Raw genomic sequence first — 17,105 nt, 5'->3', positions numbered from 1 at the left:
CAAGTGGGGTGCACAGGTCACCCACACTCCTGCCCTGCTGACTACAAGAGGGTTCCCATGAGTCCCTCTTCAGGCTCACTAGAAAAACAATGGAACTCAAGGAAGTGCTTACTATTACCAATTTATTATAAAGGATACAACTCAAAAACAGCCAAGAGGAAGAGATGCATAGGAAGGTTGGGGGGCGCGAGGAGCTTCATGATCCCCTTGGGCATGCCACTTTCTCAGCACATCAATGTGTTCGTCAGCCCAGAAGCTCCCCATGCCCTCTTTTAAGGACTTTACTAAGGTTTCATTATGTAGGTATGTAGGTACAATTAAATCAACCACTGGCCATTGGTGCCTAACCTCAATTTCCAGCCCCCCTCCTCTCCTTGGAGGTCAGGTATGAGGCTGAAAGTCTTAACCCTCTAATCAGGTGTTTGGTCTTTCCAGTGACGAGACCTCCTCCTGAACTATCTGAGGCACTACCTTGAGTCACCTCATTAGCATAAACTCAAGTACATGGAAAGGGGCTCATGATGAGTAACAAAATACACTCCTATCATTCAGGAAATGCCATGGGTTTTGGGAGCTCTGTACCAGGAACTGGGACAAATACCAAATATATATATATTTTTATTATACCACACCCTCCTGTAGATTAGTCGGAGTGTGAACAGTGCCTATTTTCTAAGAGAACCATTTCACAATATCTGTCAAAGATAAAATTACATATCCCCTTTGATACAGCAATCCCACTACAGAAACAACTTCTATACATTATTTACAAAGTATTTATTGTAAATATACATGAACAGGTGCACAAAGGTGTATGTGCAAGGATGTTTGAAGTACTGTCTGATCTATCCCTCTCAAAGGAAGAAGAAAAAGAGAGAGATGGATAGAGGGATAGAAAGTGAGGGAGGAAAAGAGGAATGAAGAGCCTAAATGCACAAAAATGGGGGATACAGCCATATTACAAAATACTGTACAGCAAATGAAGAATGGAAGAGCTCTGTGTTCTGAACATGGGAAGAAACACAAGATATTTTGTAAAAGACAAAAAGCAAGCTGTAGGCCAGAGTCATTCTAATAATAATGAAAATGATGGTGGTAACAGTAATGACGACTAAAGTACACTGAAGATTTACTATGTTCCAGGGCTCTAAGTGTTTTACGTGGTTATCCCATTTAATGAAGAAATAGTCCCATATGGTAGATATTACCTAATAAAGGAGTGTTCAGTTGGAAAAGTGAAACAAAATATCAGAAAAATAAATTTTTTTTAAATAAAACAGGTTAAAATTACAACTCTGCATTTAAAAAATTATCATATATTAATATCTGGTTTCTTTAGGGGTACAGGGGAGGGCAGGGAAGAAGACTCATGATTTTTCTATCAAATAATAGAAAAACATAATAATATGCTATATCCTTGCTTTGTATTTAATTTTTGTAGCAGCATCCAAAAATGGTCATTTTTGAAAAGAAATGAGACTTCACTGATTTTTTTTTAGTGTTTTGATATTCAAATCATTCCCCCTGAAGCATCTATCATGGATTCAGATTAAGAAATGGAGAAGAAATTGAAAACCAGTGTATTGTGGCAGACATGGCTTTGCTGTTTCTCCAACATCACTTTAATTCACTTCATAAACTTCTGTATTAAAAGATTTACAATTTCACATTGTAATCAATTTATATCTTGTTGTCAATGGGGTGTTAACAATAAAGACAGGAGGCAAGGCCAGGCACACGCCTGCAATCCCAGCACTCTGGGAGGCCAAGGCAGAAGGATCACTTGAGGCCAGGAGTTCAAGACCAGCCTGGGCAACAGAGCAAGACCCTGTCTCTAAAAAACATTTAGTTTTAGTTATCCAGTCATGGTGACGTGCACCATAGTAGCAGTAGTAGTCCTGGCTACTTGGGAGCTGAGGCAAAAAGAATCACTAGAGTCTAGGAGTTCAAGCCTGCAGTGAGCTAGGGTTACACCACTGCACCGCAGCCTAAGTGATAGAGCAAGACCCTATCTCAAAAAAACAAAAAAAAAGATAGGAGGCAATTAATTACTGTTAATTTTCATGGGGATGTTTGATAGAATTCATTTTAGAAGTAGTCAGAATTCATTAGGAAAGATTTTCCTCTAACAATAATTACTCAAAAGGGCATCTGAAATATGCATACCCATGTCTGCGTATGCAGAGTAAGTTTCCCAATAGTCATGAAACTGTTAACAGTGTATTCCTGGAGGAGGCCTTAGAGAAGGGACTGCAGGAGGGTCAAATGAGGTGAGCAGGGAAGGAGGCTTCATGTGCACCTTATATCTCTCTTAATGCTTTTTCCTTTTAGAGTACATATTCTGGGATTTAAGAAATTAATATGGAAATATTTCATATTATGTGACTTTCAGAAGTCAATATATTAATATCCAGGATTAATAATCCTTTAGCCAAAAATTATCCTTTCCTAAAGATATGCTTTTGATATTTGAAAGGGATTTTGGTAGTCATCATAATACATACATTAAAGTAGCTAATACTCGAAAAACAATTTTTTTTCCTTTTTCTTGGGAAGAGTATATTAAGGGGAAAAAAACATACCTTAGAGAAAAAACATACCTGAACTTTTCTGATTCATTGTTTCGAGATTTTTGTTTTCCTTTATGTTTTGGAGGCTGACCTGTGAACACAAAAGTATTTGTTCCTAAAATCTGTACATAAAAATCTACAAGCCTGAGAGTAAAACTATTTTTAAAATATAAATTGGAGTAAGAAAACAGAAGCAGAAATGTGGTACGTGGGTGTAACTACAAAAGGGTAAGCCAAAAAAGAAGCTACTGATGATATTTTTCTATATATAATAAATTAAATTATTAAAGATCAATTATAATAGTGATCATTATGATTTAGGTCTACCATAGATACAGAGAGATACAGGAGATAACTCCTGTTCTCAGTTTATAATCAGATGGGGTGAAAAGACACATCACTTCAGTAGTTAAACAACAATCATCCTTATGAAGAAAAGAAAATACTGTGTTGTTATTGACATATAAATTGCATAGTCAGTAATATCTCTCACAACTCACAAAAGGGAAAAATCACCTAAGCTGGAGTGGCTGAGAAAAATGTTAGTGAGGATATGGCATTTGTGTTCGGTTTTGAGGAAGAAGTACGATTTGGATAGAATGGCCTGAACTCAAGAGTAGAGAGTTCATTTCAGAAGCACTAAGTAAACCTGTGTGATTTCAAGACCTCAAAAAGGGTGGAAGGCTGGAAAAGGGCTGCTAAGGCAGGCTGAGGTGAGTGTTTACAGACCCTTAGCTTCAGATCCAGCTCTGTGAGCCCAGATTTATTCTGCTGGCAGGAGTAGGAAACCACTGCATATTTTTGGGCAGGGAGAGCCATGCTCAGAGCTGTGTAGAAGAACTGGTATGGCAGGAGGAGCAGGGTGCATCTGATGAAGGTTTAAGGGGAGGGCACAGACACAAGTCAGAGCCAATGTAATAAGGAGGGAATGAGAGCCTGGGCTTTGGTGGCCTCAGAAAACAAAAGCAGCTTTTGGAAAGGTAGAAGAATTCTAGTTTGATTTCCATTCTGTGACCTTGGACAAAACTACTTAACCTTAATCCTGGAACCTCAATTTCTTCCCCTGTATGTAAATGCTGAAGGGTGGACAGAATTTATTTAATTAAATGATAGTAATGGCCTGAGAAATATGAAGAAATTAAAAGCTATCTTCCAAAAAAAAGTTTTATCCTCAAAGATGTTTTATATGCTGTTGGAACTGCATCAGGTAGGACAACTGCCTGAGTTTCCCCTCCCTATCATTACGCTAATGTGCTAACCAAATGGAAATGCTCAATACTAAGTAGCTGTATCTATGGAACTAACTGAGCCTGAGCGAACATGGAGCTGCAGGTCACAAAAAATAGAAATGGCTGCTAGAAGCAAAACTATGGAAAGAAAAACCAACCACCCAACAAACAAGACAAGGGAAAAGAGAGGATCACTAACTAAAAAATCAACAATCTCACCTGAAGAATCCTGGGAGGAACACCACCAGGCTTGAGGTCAGTCACTGTTATGTGTGACCACAACCTTAAGCCATCAAGAAAACCTGTATTTTCCTAAATTCCGTGTTAAAAGGCAGGGAAGCATGTAATATACTTTAGAGGATTTTCATCAAACTCTGGTGGTATTAAGATTCAGAAATAAATGAAGCACAAAAATATTCACTTCTCCAGAACCTTCATCTCCAAATGATGCCAAGTAATGAGGTTCTGCGGTGTCTGTGTTTACTAGATATGTAAATAAATACATGCACTGAGCACACACAACTTAAAACAAATGAGACTTAGCCTACAGCACTGTTATGGTCTGGATATCTGTGTCCCCGACAAGATTCACATGTTGAAAACCAAATCCTCAAGGCGATGGTAATAGGAAGTGGAACCTTTGGGAGGAATTAGGTCATGAGGCTGTCCCCTCATGAATGGGATTAGTGCCCTTATAAGAAGAGACCCCAGGCTGGGCGTGGTGGCACACACCTGCAATCCCAGCACTTTGGGAGGCCAAGGCGAGAGGATTGCTTGAAGCCAAGATTTCGAGACCAGCCTGGCCAGCATGGCAAAACCTTGTCTCTGCTAAAAATACAAAAATTAGCCTGGTGTGGTAGTGCATGCCTGTAATCCCAGCTACTCGGGAGGCTGAGGCAGGAGAATTGCTTGAACCCAGGAGGCAGAGGCTGCAGAGAGCCCAGATCATGCCACTGCACTCCAGCCTGGGCAACAGAGCAAGAATCTGTCTCAAAAAAAAAAAAAGAAAGAAAAAGAAAAGAGACCCCAGAGGGCTGTCTTGCTCCTTCTACTACATGAGAACACGGCAAAAAGATGGCCATCTATGAACCGGGAAGAAGACCCTCAGCAGACATCGAATCTGTTGACATCATGATGATGAATTTCTCAGCTTCTAGAAATGTGAGAAATAAATGTTTGTTGCTTATAAGCTATCTAGTTTATGGTATTTTTGTTACAGCAGCATCTGTTCTCAATATGGGTGATATCACCCCCAATAGGGTGAAAATTAGTTATTGGGAGACAAAATCAATTCCTTTTATACATAAAGCGCAGATGCACATATGGTACATAAACAGCTATTAAAATTTTATGAGGGAGAACAATTAGATTTAAAAAGGTCTAAACAGGCTCCTAGCAGGTGGGAGGAAGGGAGGCAATAATAAACTTTCAATAATGAGAAACAACAGCCTAAAAAAAATTAAGAAGCAGACCAAAAAGAGCTATGTACTTCATCTTTTCCTTTCCTTTTATTTGAATTTCCAAAATTACATTCACTAAATAATACAAAAAGACTGAGCATTGATTTCAAATAAATATTCAATATTTTCTTAACATAGAAGCATTATAAAGTAAAGGAGAACAAGAGTGGATATAAGCAAGGCTTGTGCACATTGTAGGGCATCCAAATTTAGGAGACATTATATTAACTTGGCAACAATTGATATAAAAACAATACTCACTTGATGGTGGTGAAAATTCAGGATGACAGTCACAATCATCTACCTTCAACGCCTCATCCGCCACCTGCCAATGAAATTAGTGAGACTTAAAAAAAAAAAAAACAACCCAGCCATGAAGAATTCAATAGCTATATAAAAGAATTTAGAATAGAATAGGATAGAATTCACCCTAGCAGCTAAAATATGCAGCTGGTTATTAAGCCTAAATGTATAAACAAGCAAACAAAATGATAACTAATGATAAGGATCATGATATGGCAACGAACAAATTCTTGAATGACAATTCTATTTCTATTGCCTAGCACGATGTCTGACATGACAATTGTTCAATAATGTTTGAATTAACACTATCACATCTGTACATAAAAATCTACAAGCCTGAGAGTAAAACTATTTTTAAAATATAAATTGGAGTAAGAAACAGAAGCAGCAATGTGGTATGTGAGTGTAACTACAAAAGGGTAAGCCAAAAAAGAAGCTACTGATGATATTTTTCTATATATAATAAATTATTAAATATAATCAATTATTAAAGATCAATTATAATAGCGATCATTATTATGATTTAGGTCTACCATAGATACAGAGAGATACAGGAGATAACTCCCGTTCTCAGTTTACAATCAGATGGGGTGAAAAGACACATCACTTCAGTAGTTAAACAACAACCATCCTTATGAAGAAAAGAAAATACTGTGTTGTTATTGACATATAAATTGCATAGTCAGTAATATCTCTCACAACTCACAAAAGGGAAAAATCACTTAAGCTGGAGTGGTTAAGAAAAATGTTAGTGAGGATACAGCATTTGTGTTTGGTTTTGAGAAAGAAGTACGATTTGGACAGAATGGCCTGAACCCAAGAGTAGAGTTCATTTCGGAAGCACTAAGTAAACCTGTGTGATTTCAAGACCTCAAAAAGGGTGGAAGGCTGGAAAAGGGCTGCTAAGGCAGGCTGAGGTGAGTGTTTACAGACCCTTAGCTTCAGATCCAGCTGGAAATGCTCAATACAATTCCAGATCCAGCTGGAGATGCTCGGTATAAACTCCTCTCCCTAACTGAACACAGTCTCTTAGAAATTTTCAATATTATCAACAAGAGGACTTTTCCAACAACCGAAGGGAAAAGATACAAAGAGAAGCGGCAAAATGGTTATTTTTAAAAATATGTTGGAAACACATAAATGTGATTTCAAAAGAAATTCTGTGACTTTCAAATATTATTTACGTAGTTATATGAGATACTCAGATTATTTATTTAAAAGAGAATCATTATTTCAGTAACAATAGGCAAAAAGGGTTCAAATCGCCAAAAATTTGGTTTCTATTACCACCAAAATATTACTGTAAAAATATGAGACTATCTATCCTTGAAAAAAACTGTAGTTTTCAATGGAGCTTACCTTTAGATTCTGATTACCACCGTTGGCCATTTCGTGATTAATTTTTCTGAAATCTCTTTCCTTCTCCACAAAGTTAAGTGAAGTAGTAAATATAGGTGCTGATAAACTCCTAGGTGTGTAGGCCCTAAGTGGGGGAAAAAAGGAATTATTATACATTTTTTGAAAGTTATCCTTTGAATGAACAGGTTGCAGCAATCACAGCCTTTTTTCCTTGAAAGCAAGGTATTATTGTTTTAAAAAGATTTCCTACCTGTGAGATGGGGCTTTATACATAAACATTATTTTATATTTGGCATTAAACTCAAAATAATAAAGAACAGGTCAAGGGCTGGGTGCAGTGGTTCACGCCTGTAATTCCAGCACTTTGGGAGCCCAGGGCAGGTGGATCAGCTAAGGTCAGGAGTTCAAGACCAGCCTGGCCAACATGGTGAGACCCCCGTCTCTACTAAAAATACAAAAATTAGCCAGGTGTGGTGGCATGTGCCTGTAATCCCAGCGACTGGGGAGGCTGAGGCAGGAGACCTGCTTGAACCCAGTAGGCGGAGGTTTCAGTGACCCAAGATCGTGCCACTGCACTCCAGCCTAGGTGACAGAGGGAGACTGTCTCAAAAAAAAAAAAAAAAAAAAAAAGAACAGTTCAAAAAGAAGTATTCTGCGTTCTAACATTTAAATATCAGCTGGGCACAGTGGCTCAGGCTGGGCACAGTGGCTCACTCCTGTAATCTCAGCACTTTGGGAGGCCAAGGCGAGCGGATCACTTGAGGTCAGGAGTTTGAGACCAGTCTGGCCAAAATGTTGAAACCTCATCTCTACCAAAAATTCAAAAATTAGCAGGGCGTGGTGGCAGCCGCCTGTGGCCCCAGCTACTCAAGAGGCTGAGGCAGGAGAATCGCTTGAACCCGGGAGGCAGAGGTTGCAGTGAGCCGACATCATAACACCGCACTCCAGCCTGGGTGACAGAGTGAGACTCCGTCTCAAAAAAATTAAAAAAAAAAAAATACCTATGACCTTGTGCTAAATTTAAATATCCTAAGTTAAGTTAAATTAGGATACTAAAATTAAATTTAAAGCCTCCACAGCCAATTTCTTTATGTCTACATGTTCAGCATGCTACAGAATTAGCAGCTTCGGTATCCCAGACATCTGAACAAGAATGCAGAAAAACATTTAATCTGTTTTAATTGCCAAATAAGTAAAGGTAGAACCCTGGCTGCTATTGCTTTCTTGTGAGCATACTCAAGTCTATCTGTTGCCTATTTCTAATAGGAAGTATCTTAGCCTTTGAAAGACATCAGGAAGCTGGAAATATTAGGTTGGTGCAAAAGTAATTGTGGTTTTTGCCATAGATACTTCCAAGACAGAGGTGAAGGGCACAGGGCACAGGCTATGTCCTAGCTCTGTGCTGCCAGGAGTTTCATGGCCAAACTGGTCCCATCCAAGCATAGTAATGTCCAATTAACATTTCACCCCTCTTTTCCCACAGGATTAGGCTACTGAGCTTATATCTATATGGTTCACTAAAACAGCGAAATAAATCTGACAACTTACAGGTCACCTGATAACACGGACACTTAAAAAACTACCTCTCTTCCTTCCATCTCCAACTTTACTGTGGTTGCTATTAGCTCCTAAAGCGTCAAACATAAGTGATTCTTAAATTCATGCAGCAAAGCCATTCCTAGTAGTAGCAGCTACTGACCTGCTATTAACTTACCTGTTTTCATAAAAGGCTTTAATTGGATCCTTATTTGCTGTTCGACCTATAAAAGTCATCACACACACACACACATAGTAATCAATGGATTGGCAACACAGACTTTAAAAGATTTCAAATTTACTTTAAGCTGATAGTAAGGACCTCAAATTTAGAAAACTGAAAAGTAAATCTAAGCAATTTTACATTTCTAGATGTCTTTAGTTTTAGGATGGTGTCAACAAAATGTTACACAAACTTTGTCTGACATTCCATCACATGTGATCATTGACAAGATGACAGCAATATGTAAATCTGAATCAAAGGTGGCACCTGTCTTCAAGGAGCTCACCATCTTATTACATAATCATGTTATGATGGATAACAACATCTGCCGGTCAAACAGAGCTGTTCAGCTCAGCTTTGTACAACCCGAAGAAGAAAAAGCAGGAAAGACTCATACACTAAAAATGTAGACTAAGGGACTTTCAGGCATTGGAGAAAGCAAAAAGACTTAGGAGAGAAAACAAGGAGAGAATGAAAATCTACAACTCCTAGCCTGCACAGCCAATTTCTGCTATATATATAAAAAACATTATATATATATATATAATATATATATATATATATTATATATATATATATTCAGCACGCTGCAGAATTAGCACAAATGGTGCGGAAACATCAAGCAGCTCTACTGAAGGGTCTTTTCTTTAGGAAATAACTTTAGCAATGAAGGAAATATTTTTAAATAATTTTGTTTCAAAAAAGCTTTTATTTTATTCAAAATTTCTGAAAGGGATTTTTTTTTCTACAGAGGAATAAATAACAATTTGGTTGCTGTCTGTTTCAAATAAAAAGTACAAATCATTTATAATTACTTAATGGATAACATGTAACTCTACACAGATAGAAATGAAAAACTCAAGTGCCATGACCAAGATAACATGATAAAATAAGGATAAATCATCTGAGGATTGATTTGTGGTCCTCTGTTAATCCAAGAAACCCACCCTCCAAAGTTTGAAAGGGAATTAAGACTGTAACCAAAAGAATCTTAGGTGAAATACCTTGTAGGTCTTCTATTTGTTTTTGTAACTTTACATGCTGCTGAATTAGATCCTTGATTCCCTCAGGGTCATTTTTACAGAGTTTTTGAGCTTTTATGTTTGCTTGCAGGGCCCAGTCATATTCCCCCAGCATAGAAAGAGCATCACAATAACGATAATGACCCTGTTCCAAAAAGATAAATTTAATTTTTTCTCAAAAATATGCTTAAGTTAAAGAAAACAGGTAAGGAAAAATGTTTTGCTTGAAAACTGATTCATTACTTAAAATATTAGATTAGGTCCCTACCAATGAAAAATAAATGTAAAATGTTAATACCTCAGGAAATAACATTACCTAATGAGCTAAGTGAAAAGTTATAAATACACAAATAATCACAATAACTAAGGATCAATATTTTTGCTTAAGAAATTTCTGTACCCCCAGCAGAGTTCAACTTTTGTTATATTTTGCTAACAGAGAATATAATAATTTTGTGCCAGATAAAGTAAAAAATGTCATTCATTATAAATAACTTTATGTTTTAAAAATATTTGAAGGCAGTAACAATCTCTAAGTCATCGCCTTTCCTACACCTGGAAATCGAGAAGTTTTTAGAGCTGGATGGAACCATGGGCCTGTGCCATGGTTTTCCGATACCTCCGAAGAGTGCAGACAGATGGGGGATGTGCTCAGGCTAGATCTTCCATCCAGCCGTCTCCCCTTCACTCAGCTTTTCATTGTTATCTCTAAGTGCAGCTCCTGGCTTTAAGAAACCAAAAACCAGGGATTTACATTTAATTCCAATGATAAGGGTTTTTTGCTACAGAACCAAAATCTTTGCTGGTCCATTTACATATTTTGGAAATCTTCTATATTAAGTATAAACTTTTTAATCTACAAAGCTAACAGTACCAAAACCTGAAGCTAACTGAACCAACCCTGCTTCTAGCTCCTCCCAAACCAAATTCCCATTTTAGGCACAGTACTACTGGCAAGGTGATTTACTAGTGAAAGAGGCTAGAGGCTAGAAACTGGCCTAATATCACACTTACTTAAGAGGCAAACCAAAGAACCCTGATTTTTATGACACCTGGTCCAAAGCTCTTTCCTCTTCACTACACATTTCACAAAGAACACTGTGATTCAGTGAAAATCTAGGAGAAATTATAAAAAACAAACAACGCTTTTAAGAAGGATCAGCTTTTCACTACAAGAAGCCAGAAACAATTACGTGGGTACGTGTTTATGCAGGTTTACCATAAGTAATCCTGCTCTGGGGTACCGTGTGGCTCTAAAGGTTCTGGAGTTTTTTTAGACAGACTATTTGGGCTTAGCTCAGACTCCAATTCATATGGCATTTCATTAAACTCTGTTTTGCTGAAAGGGTATAGGCCATGCTTCCTGACACCTAAAGTATAAGAAGACAAAGGCATCTCTCAGATAGGCTACAAGGTCAAATCCTATCCCCTAAGCATTTACGGACTTCAAAGTTTAAATAACTGCATTAAAAAACCCACAGCTAGCATAAGAAATAATGATAGATCATAAACCAAATCTACTAAATTTGCAGAGAACTTTATTTCTTTCTCTTTTCTCCATACTTTTCTCACCTTTTATTGGATCCTTTTCCCTGAACCCTATAAAACATAATGTAACTCCTGTTAGTTGAGAAAAGACTTAATTCAGACCTCCCTACTGAAGTTATTTCAATGAAGCTTAAATTAAAGGTATCTCAGAGTTTCTGAAACCCAATTACAATAAAAAGGTCTTTTCACTATCTCATTCTCTATCACACATGTGGAAATTCCCTCTTGCTCATCTCTCTAGTCTCCCCTCACTTAGGAGACCACCATGTTCCCACTTCTCACAGTAACAGCAGGACTGTCAGTTCCAGTGCTCCACCCCAACAATGGACGGCACGGTGGAAGTGTGGCTGTAACCCAGGAGACTGGCCAATTGAAATGCACTACTTTCTAGGTCAAAGCAATAAATCCACAGGTGGGCACATGACTCAATCAGAATCAGTCTGAGGCATCCCTAAGGTCTACTGTACACACACTGAGAGAGGGTCTCCTTTTCCTAGAATTAACAGCTACTCATGACATCAGTTTGCAGATCCCACTACATGGTAAAAGTCTTTTTAAAAATAAAACCAAGAGCGCCTACACTCTAACCTCCACTTCTGACCAAAATGAAGTAATAAGGACTTGATTTTTCCCTCCTACCTAAAACAAAGACAAAAGATAAGAAACCACAGCTTGCAAGACATTGAAAACAAGGCAACAAAAGAGAGTATGAAAAACATATAAAGTAAGCCCTGTGATTGATCCCGCTTACTGATAAGAATGTCTCTAAGCCAGAGCATGGGAAGAGAAAACCTAGGCAGAGACTGGCAGCCTCTCTCAGTTAAGGAGACAGAAGCGGGAGTACAGAGGACCAAGGCAGCTGAGTTCACAGAGCAGAGGACCAGAGAAGAGAAAGCTGCACACAGGGAGAACTCCAGAGGGACCCCTTGAGTCTTCAGCTAAGTACTGATCAGCACATCCCTGGGGGACAACGGTCCACAGCCAGGGAAAGAACAACCTGAAAGGTTAACAGGGAACAAGAGCCGGAACGGAAACAAATCAGGAATAATTCCTGTTCCTATCAACAAGAGTGAAAAACACCATAATTCATGGGGTGAATTCTCTACTTCAAGTAGAGTACTCAGAAAAGTTTTGCTTCAGTAGTGGGGAAAAAATTAGCCCTAGATTAAATGCCACTATAGTCCCGCCTAAAAAAAATCTTAAAACCTTGAAGAATTAAAATTGTTTCTAAGTAACTTTACTGCATCCCAAAACAAAGATCAAGCATATTTAAAGAAAAACAAGAATATCCAGCACCAAACAAGGTAAAATTCACAATATCTGGCATCCATCTACAATTACCAGGAAAATATGACCTATAATGAACAGCAAAATAAACCAACTGAAAACAACCCACAAATGACACAGATTAGTAGACAAGGACATTGAAATACTTATTATAACTATCCCCTATGTGTTCAAGAGGTGAAAGGAAAGATGGAATATGTTAAAGACATGAAATATGCAAGAAAGACCCAAATTTAACCTCTAGAGATGAAAACTATAGCATTTAAGATGAAAAGTACATTGGATGGAAATAAAGGCAGATAAAACACTGCAGAAGAAAAGATGGGTGAGCTTGAAGACATAACAAGAGAATCCATGTAAAAATCAGAGAGGGAAGCTAGAAAAAAGACTAAACATGAAGCTGACAAACAGGGAGGCAAAGTTGAGAAAATGAAAGAAAGATGTGTACAAATCTGGATCCAACCATTCCTGAAGCTAACCCCTAGACTTCTCAGTTACATGAGCCAATTAATTCCCTTTTCTACTTAAATCAAATCTGAGTTCAGTTTCTGTCATTCACAACAAAAGTCCTAATGCGCCCCTCAAAATTTAAATGTTCTTGAGGACATTTCTGAGGTTATTAGTTTGTATCCTATATGATATAGATCAAAACACAATGCTCACAGACCTGCACAAACATATCTGTTGAGGCTAAGAAAAATTCTCACTCTTCAGGACAAATGACTCATTCTTTCTAAATCCTGAAAGTGAGTCTAGAGACAGGTAGCACTGTACTAATCTTCCCCATTAAGAAGAAGGAAAAAAATGTCCTACCCTCACATAGAAATCTACAGAATACATTCCACTAACACACTTACATCTTAGAGGTATGACTCCATAGACTCAGGCTCATAATTAATTCTAAAGTAAGGCAATCTTATAAAAGTAAATATACCCTGTATGATCTACTTTTGCTCCTGAAGTTTATCCTTTAATAAGCATTCTTTTCTGGTTTTAAAAAAAAAAGAAAAATAACCTAGTTATGTAGTTACCAAATTTTTAAAATACTTACTAGTGGTTATATGTTTTTATCTATACAAATATTTCTGCAATCATACGACACATCACCAATACAAGGCAACAAAAGAGAGTATCCCCTGAGAAGGGATGTTTGGACATCACCAAACATTCCAATTTAAAAAAAAAAGTGAATATTTTGTTTAAGAAACTAAGCCAGGAACAAGTATTCTCCACAAAGTTCTCAAAATAATTGTTAAAGTTTTTTTCTTTTTTCTTTTTTTTTTTTTTTTTTGAAGTGGCGCAATCATAGCTCGCTGCAGCCTCATACTTCCTGGGCTCAGGTGATTATCCCACCTTAGCCTCCCAAGTAGCTGGGATTATAGGCACATGCCACCATGCCCAACTAATTTTTTGTAAAGATATGGTTTTGCCATGTTGCTCAGGCTGGTCTTGAACTCAAGGGATCTGCCCGTCCTGCCCTCCCAAAGTGCTGGGATTACAGGAGTGAGCGCCAGGTCTTCAAAAAGTTTTAATAACTGTTTTTCTTAATTGATAATATATTAAAATAGCAGGAAGTATTTCTGGAAAACCAGTATCATGGTTTGGGTTTCAGTATTTGGAATTCTATCATTCATTCATTCATTTTACAAATATTGATATAGCACCTGTCAAACACCAGGTTCAAGGATCAGCAAAGATTTTGTTTCAAGCAAAAGAATGACTCATAATGAAAATACCAACAAACTGGTCACCCTCAAACAGAACCACCAGTTTTGTCTTTTATTTGCAATGACACCTTGCAAAAATCACTCTACCTCTCTGGGACTCAATTGCTTCATGTGTAAAATAAGGCATTTAAAAAATGATTCTAAAATCTGGATGCAGAAGTCCACCTGGGGAATTTTACAATCTCCACACTCCTAGATACATTCCTAGGCCACCTGAATCACAATTTGGGGGAAAAGCGAAGAAATCTGTCTTTTAAACAAGGTCTCCAGGCTGACTTTTCCCTTTTACTTTATACCTTGCTATATTCTATTTTTCTCTTTAATCATGTGATATTTATAATATAAAGTTCATTTAAAAAAATTAAACAAAATAAACTCCTACAATTAATCTAATGAAGGCTATCCGCAGAGCAGTAATGGAAGTATCAAATTAGACTAAATTCCCTAAGGCCTTCAAATTCTGATTCTACTTGCACTAGCTTTTTTTAAATTACGTAAAACCAGGAATGAAGTATGAAATACATGTGCCTTTCTATATCTTATTTAAAGCTCCACTTAAAAAAAAATTTATTTATTTTTATTTTTTTATTTTTTAGATGGAGTTTCACTCTGTCACCCAGGCTGGAATGCAGTGGTGTGATCTCAGCTCACTGTAACCTCCATCTCCTGGGTTCAAGTGATTCTCCTGCCTCAGACTCCTGAGTAGCTAGACAGGAATGCACCACAACATCCAGTAATTTTTTAAAATTTTTTTGTAGAGACGGGGTTTCACATGTTGGCCAGGCTGGTCTTGGAACTCCTGACTTCAAGTGATCTGCCCGCCTCAGCCTCCTGAAGTGCTAGGATTACAGGTGTGAGCCATCATGCCTGGCATCTAAAGCTTCACTTAAAAAAAAAATATTTTTATAATTTAGGAAAATACAGAGACTAATACACAGATACCCAGAATTAACTGTTAACATTTTGTTATATTTGCTTCTGATTTTTAAATGAAATAAATAAAACTATTTCTGATGATACAGATATGGCTGAAATCTCCTTTGTACCCTCTCCAATCTCCTTTCCCTCTCTTACTGCCCAGAAGCAAACACTATCATGAACTCGATAGATATTTTTCCAGCCTATGTTTTATTGACTTTTTCATTTAACTTTTTAAAATCCATAAATGTTGATAAGCCAGCTAATTCAACTGCAATCTACTATTTGATTCATTCAATCACTAAGTCAACAATTATTTACTAATGAGTGCCTGCTAAGTAAGTGTCAGGCAGCTTGTCAGACAGTCTGGATTCAAGAGTGAAGTGAACCAAACACCAAAAAAATCTTTCCTTGTGGAGCTCATATTATACTGGAAGACACACAATAGCCACTATAACTCAAACAGTAGATATAATGTATTAGATAATGGTAAGTCCTAAGAAGAAAAAAGTAAAGCAAGGAAAGAAGATAAGAAATGCGTAGGAAGTGAGGTGTTTGGCATTTTAGTAATGAGGCCAAGGAATGTTTCACTGAGAAGAGTCCTTTCAATATCGACTGAAAAGAAATAAGGGGGCTGGCCAACGCTCTGGGGAAAAGCATTCTAGGCAGAGGGAAGGGCAAGTACAAAGTGGAAGTGGGCCTGGAATGTCTGAGGAACAGTGAGGATGCCAAGAGGCCAAGATAAAGTGAACCAGGGACAGAGCAGGAGCAGTGAGGTTGGAGAAACAACAAGTGTTCAAGACGGGGACAGATCACACAGGTCAGAGTAACAACTTTGATCAAGTGAAAATACCACATTTATCTGCTGCTTTATCAATAGACATGTAGGTATTTGCAGTTGTGTGCCATTAAAACAATGCTGCAATGACCAACCTTGCATATCAAACCATGTGCACATTTGCAAGAAATTTTCTAGAGCACACACACTCAGAATCAAGTAACTGTGGAGTCTATTATAGTGCTCCCTGACTTGGTTGTAAGCAATCACACTCCCACCAGTTTACTGGGGCTTCCTGTTACTACACATACCCACCAACACCAGACTATCAGCCTCTTTAATTTCTGCCAATCTGAAGGACTCAGACAATATGACATTGTAATATTTACTCACATAGTGGGTTCTGTGTGGAGGCCCTCTATTCTGCACTATTGGTTTCATTCTTTTATCTGTGTACCAAATCCCTACAATTTTAATTACTAGGAAATAGAAATAGTTTCTTTATTATTATTATTATTATTATTATTATACTTTAAGTTTTAGGGTACATGTGCACAACGTGCAGGTTTGTTACATAGGTATACATGTGCCATGTTGCTGTGCTGCACCCATTAACTCGTCATTTAGCATTAGGTATATCTCCTAATGCTATCCCTCTCCCCTCCCACCTCACAACAGGCCCCGGTGTGTGATGTTCCCCTTCCTGTGTCCATGTGCTCTCATTGTTCAATTCCCACCTATGAGTGAGAACATGCGGTGTTTGGTTTTTTGTCCCTGCAACAGTTTGCTGAGAATGATGGTTTCCAGCTTCATCCATGTCCCTACAAAGGACATGAACTCATCATTTTTTATGGCTGCTTAGTATTCCATGGTGTATATGTGCCATATTTTCTTAACCCAGTCTATCATTGTTGGACATGTGGGTTGGTTCCAAGTCTTTGCTATTGTGAATACTGCCACAATAAACATATGTGTGCATGTGTCTTTATAGCAGCATGATTTATAATCCTTTGGGTATATACCCAGTAATGGGATGGCTGGGTCAAATGGTATTTCTAGTTCGAGATCCCTGAGGAATCGCCACACTGACTTCCACAATGGTTGAACTAGTTTACAGTCCCACCAACAGTGTAAAAGTGTTCCTA

At 37.7% G+C, this 17,105-nt stretch overlaps 1 protein-coding gene across 10 annotated transcripts in view, besides 2 other annotated features; it reads right to left on the bottom strand.

Moving 5' to 3' along the window:
• Positions 1-17,105, bottom strand: part of TTC3 (tetratricopeptide repeat domain 3) — a 129,865-nt gene that overhangs the window by 71,455 nt on the left and 41,305 nt on the right. For all 10 annotated transcript variants that reach the window (NM_001320703.2, NM_001353936.2, NM_001320704.2 and 7 more), the window contains 5 exons: positions 9,685-9,847; positions 8,636-8,681; positions 6,922-7,045; positions 5,521-5,584; positions 2,601-2,661 (listed from right to left, as the gene is read on the bottom strand). In NM_001320703.2, the coding sequence (NP_001307632.1) occupies positions 2,601-2,661; positions 5,521-5,584; positions 6,922-7,045; positions 8,636-8,681; positions 9,685-9,847 (458 nt within the window). The remainder of the gene's footprint in view (positions 1-2,600; positions 2,662-5,520; positions 5,585-6,921; positions 7,046-8,635; positions 8,682-9,684; positions 9,848-17,105) is intronic.
• Positions 14,161-14,305: an enhancer, noted in NCBI's record as "145 bp enhancer 103 fragment used in the MPRA reporter construct; PK_construct_2836". NCBI's record gives its function as "activates an SV40 promoter by MPRA in HepG2 cells {active_cell/tissue: HepG2}" and the evidence as "EXISTENCE:reporter gene assay evidence [ECO:0000049][PMID:23512712]".
• Positions 14,221-14,244: a transcriptional cis regulatory region, noted in NCBI's record as "GFI1 motif; enhancer activity is reduced when this motif is scrambled". NCBI's record gives its function as "necessary for full MPRA enhancer 103 activity {active_cell/tissue: HepG2}" and the evidence as "EXISTENCE:site-directed mutagenesis evidence [ECO:0005528][PMID:23512712]".

This window comes from Homo sapiens, chromosome 21 (genome assembly GCF_000001405.40).
Source record: "Homo sapiens chromosome 21, GRCh38.p14 Primary Assembly".
Lineage (NCBI taxonomy): Eukaryota > Metazoa > Chordata > Mammalia > Primates > Hominidae > Homo > Homo sapiens.
This window is presented reverse-complemented; position numbering and strand designations above follow the sequence as displayed.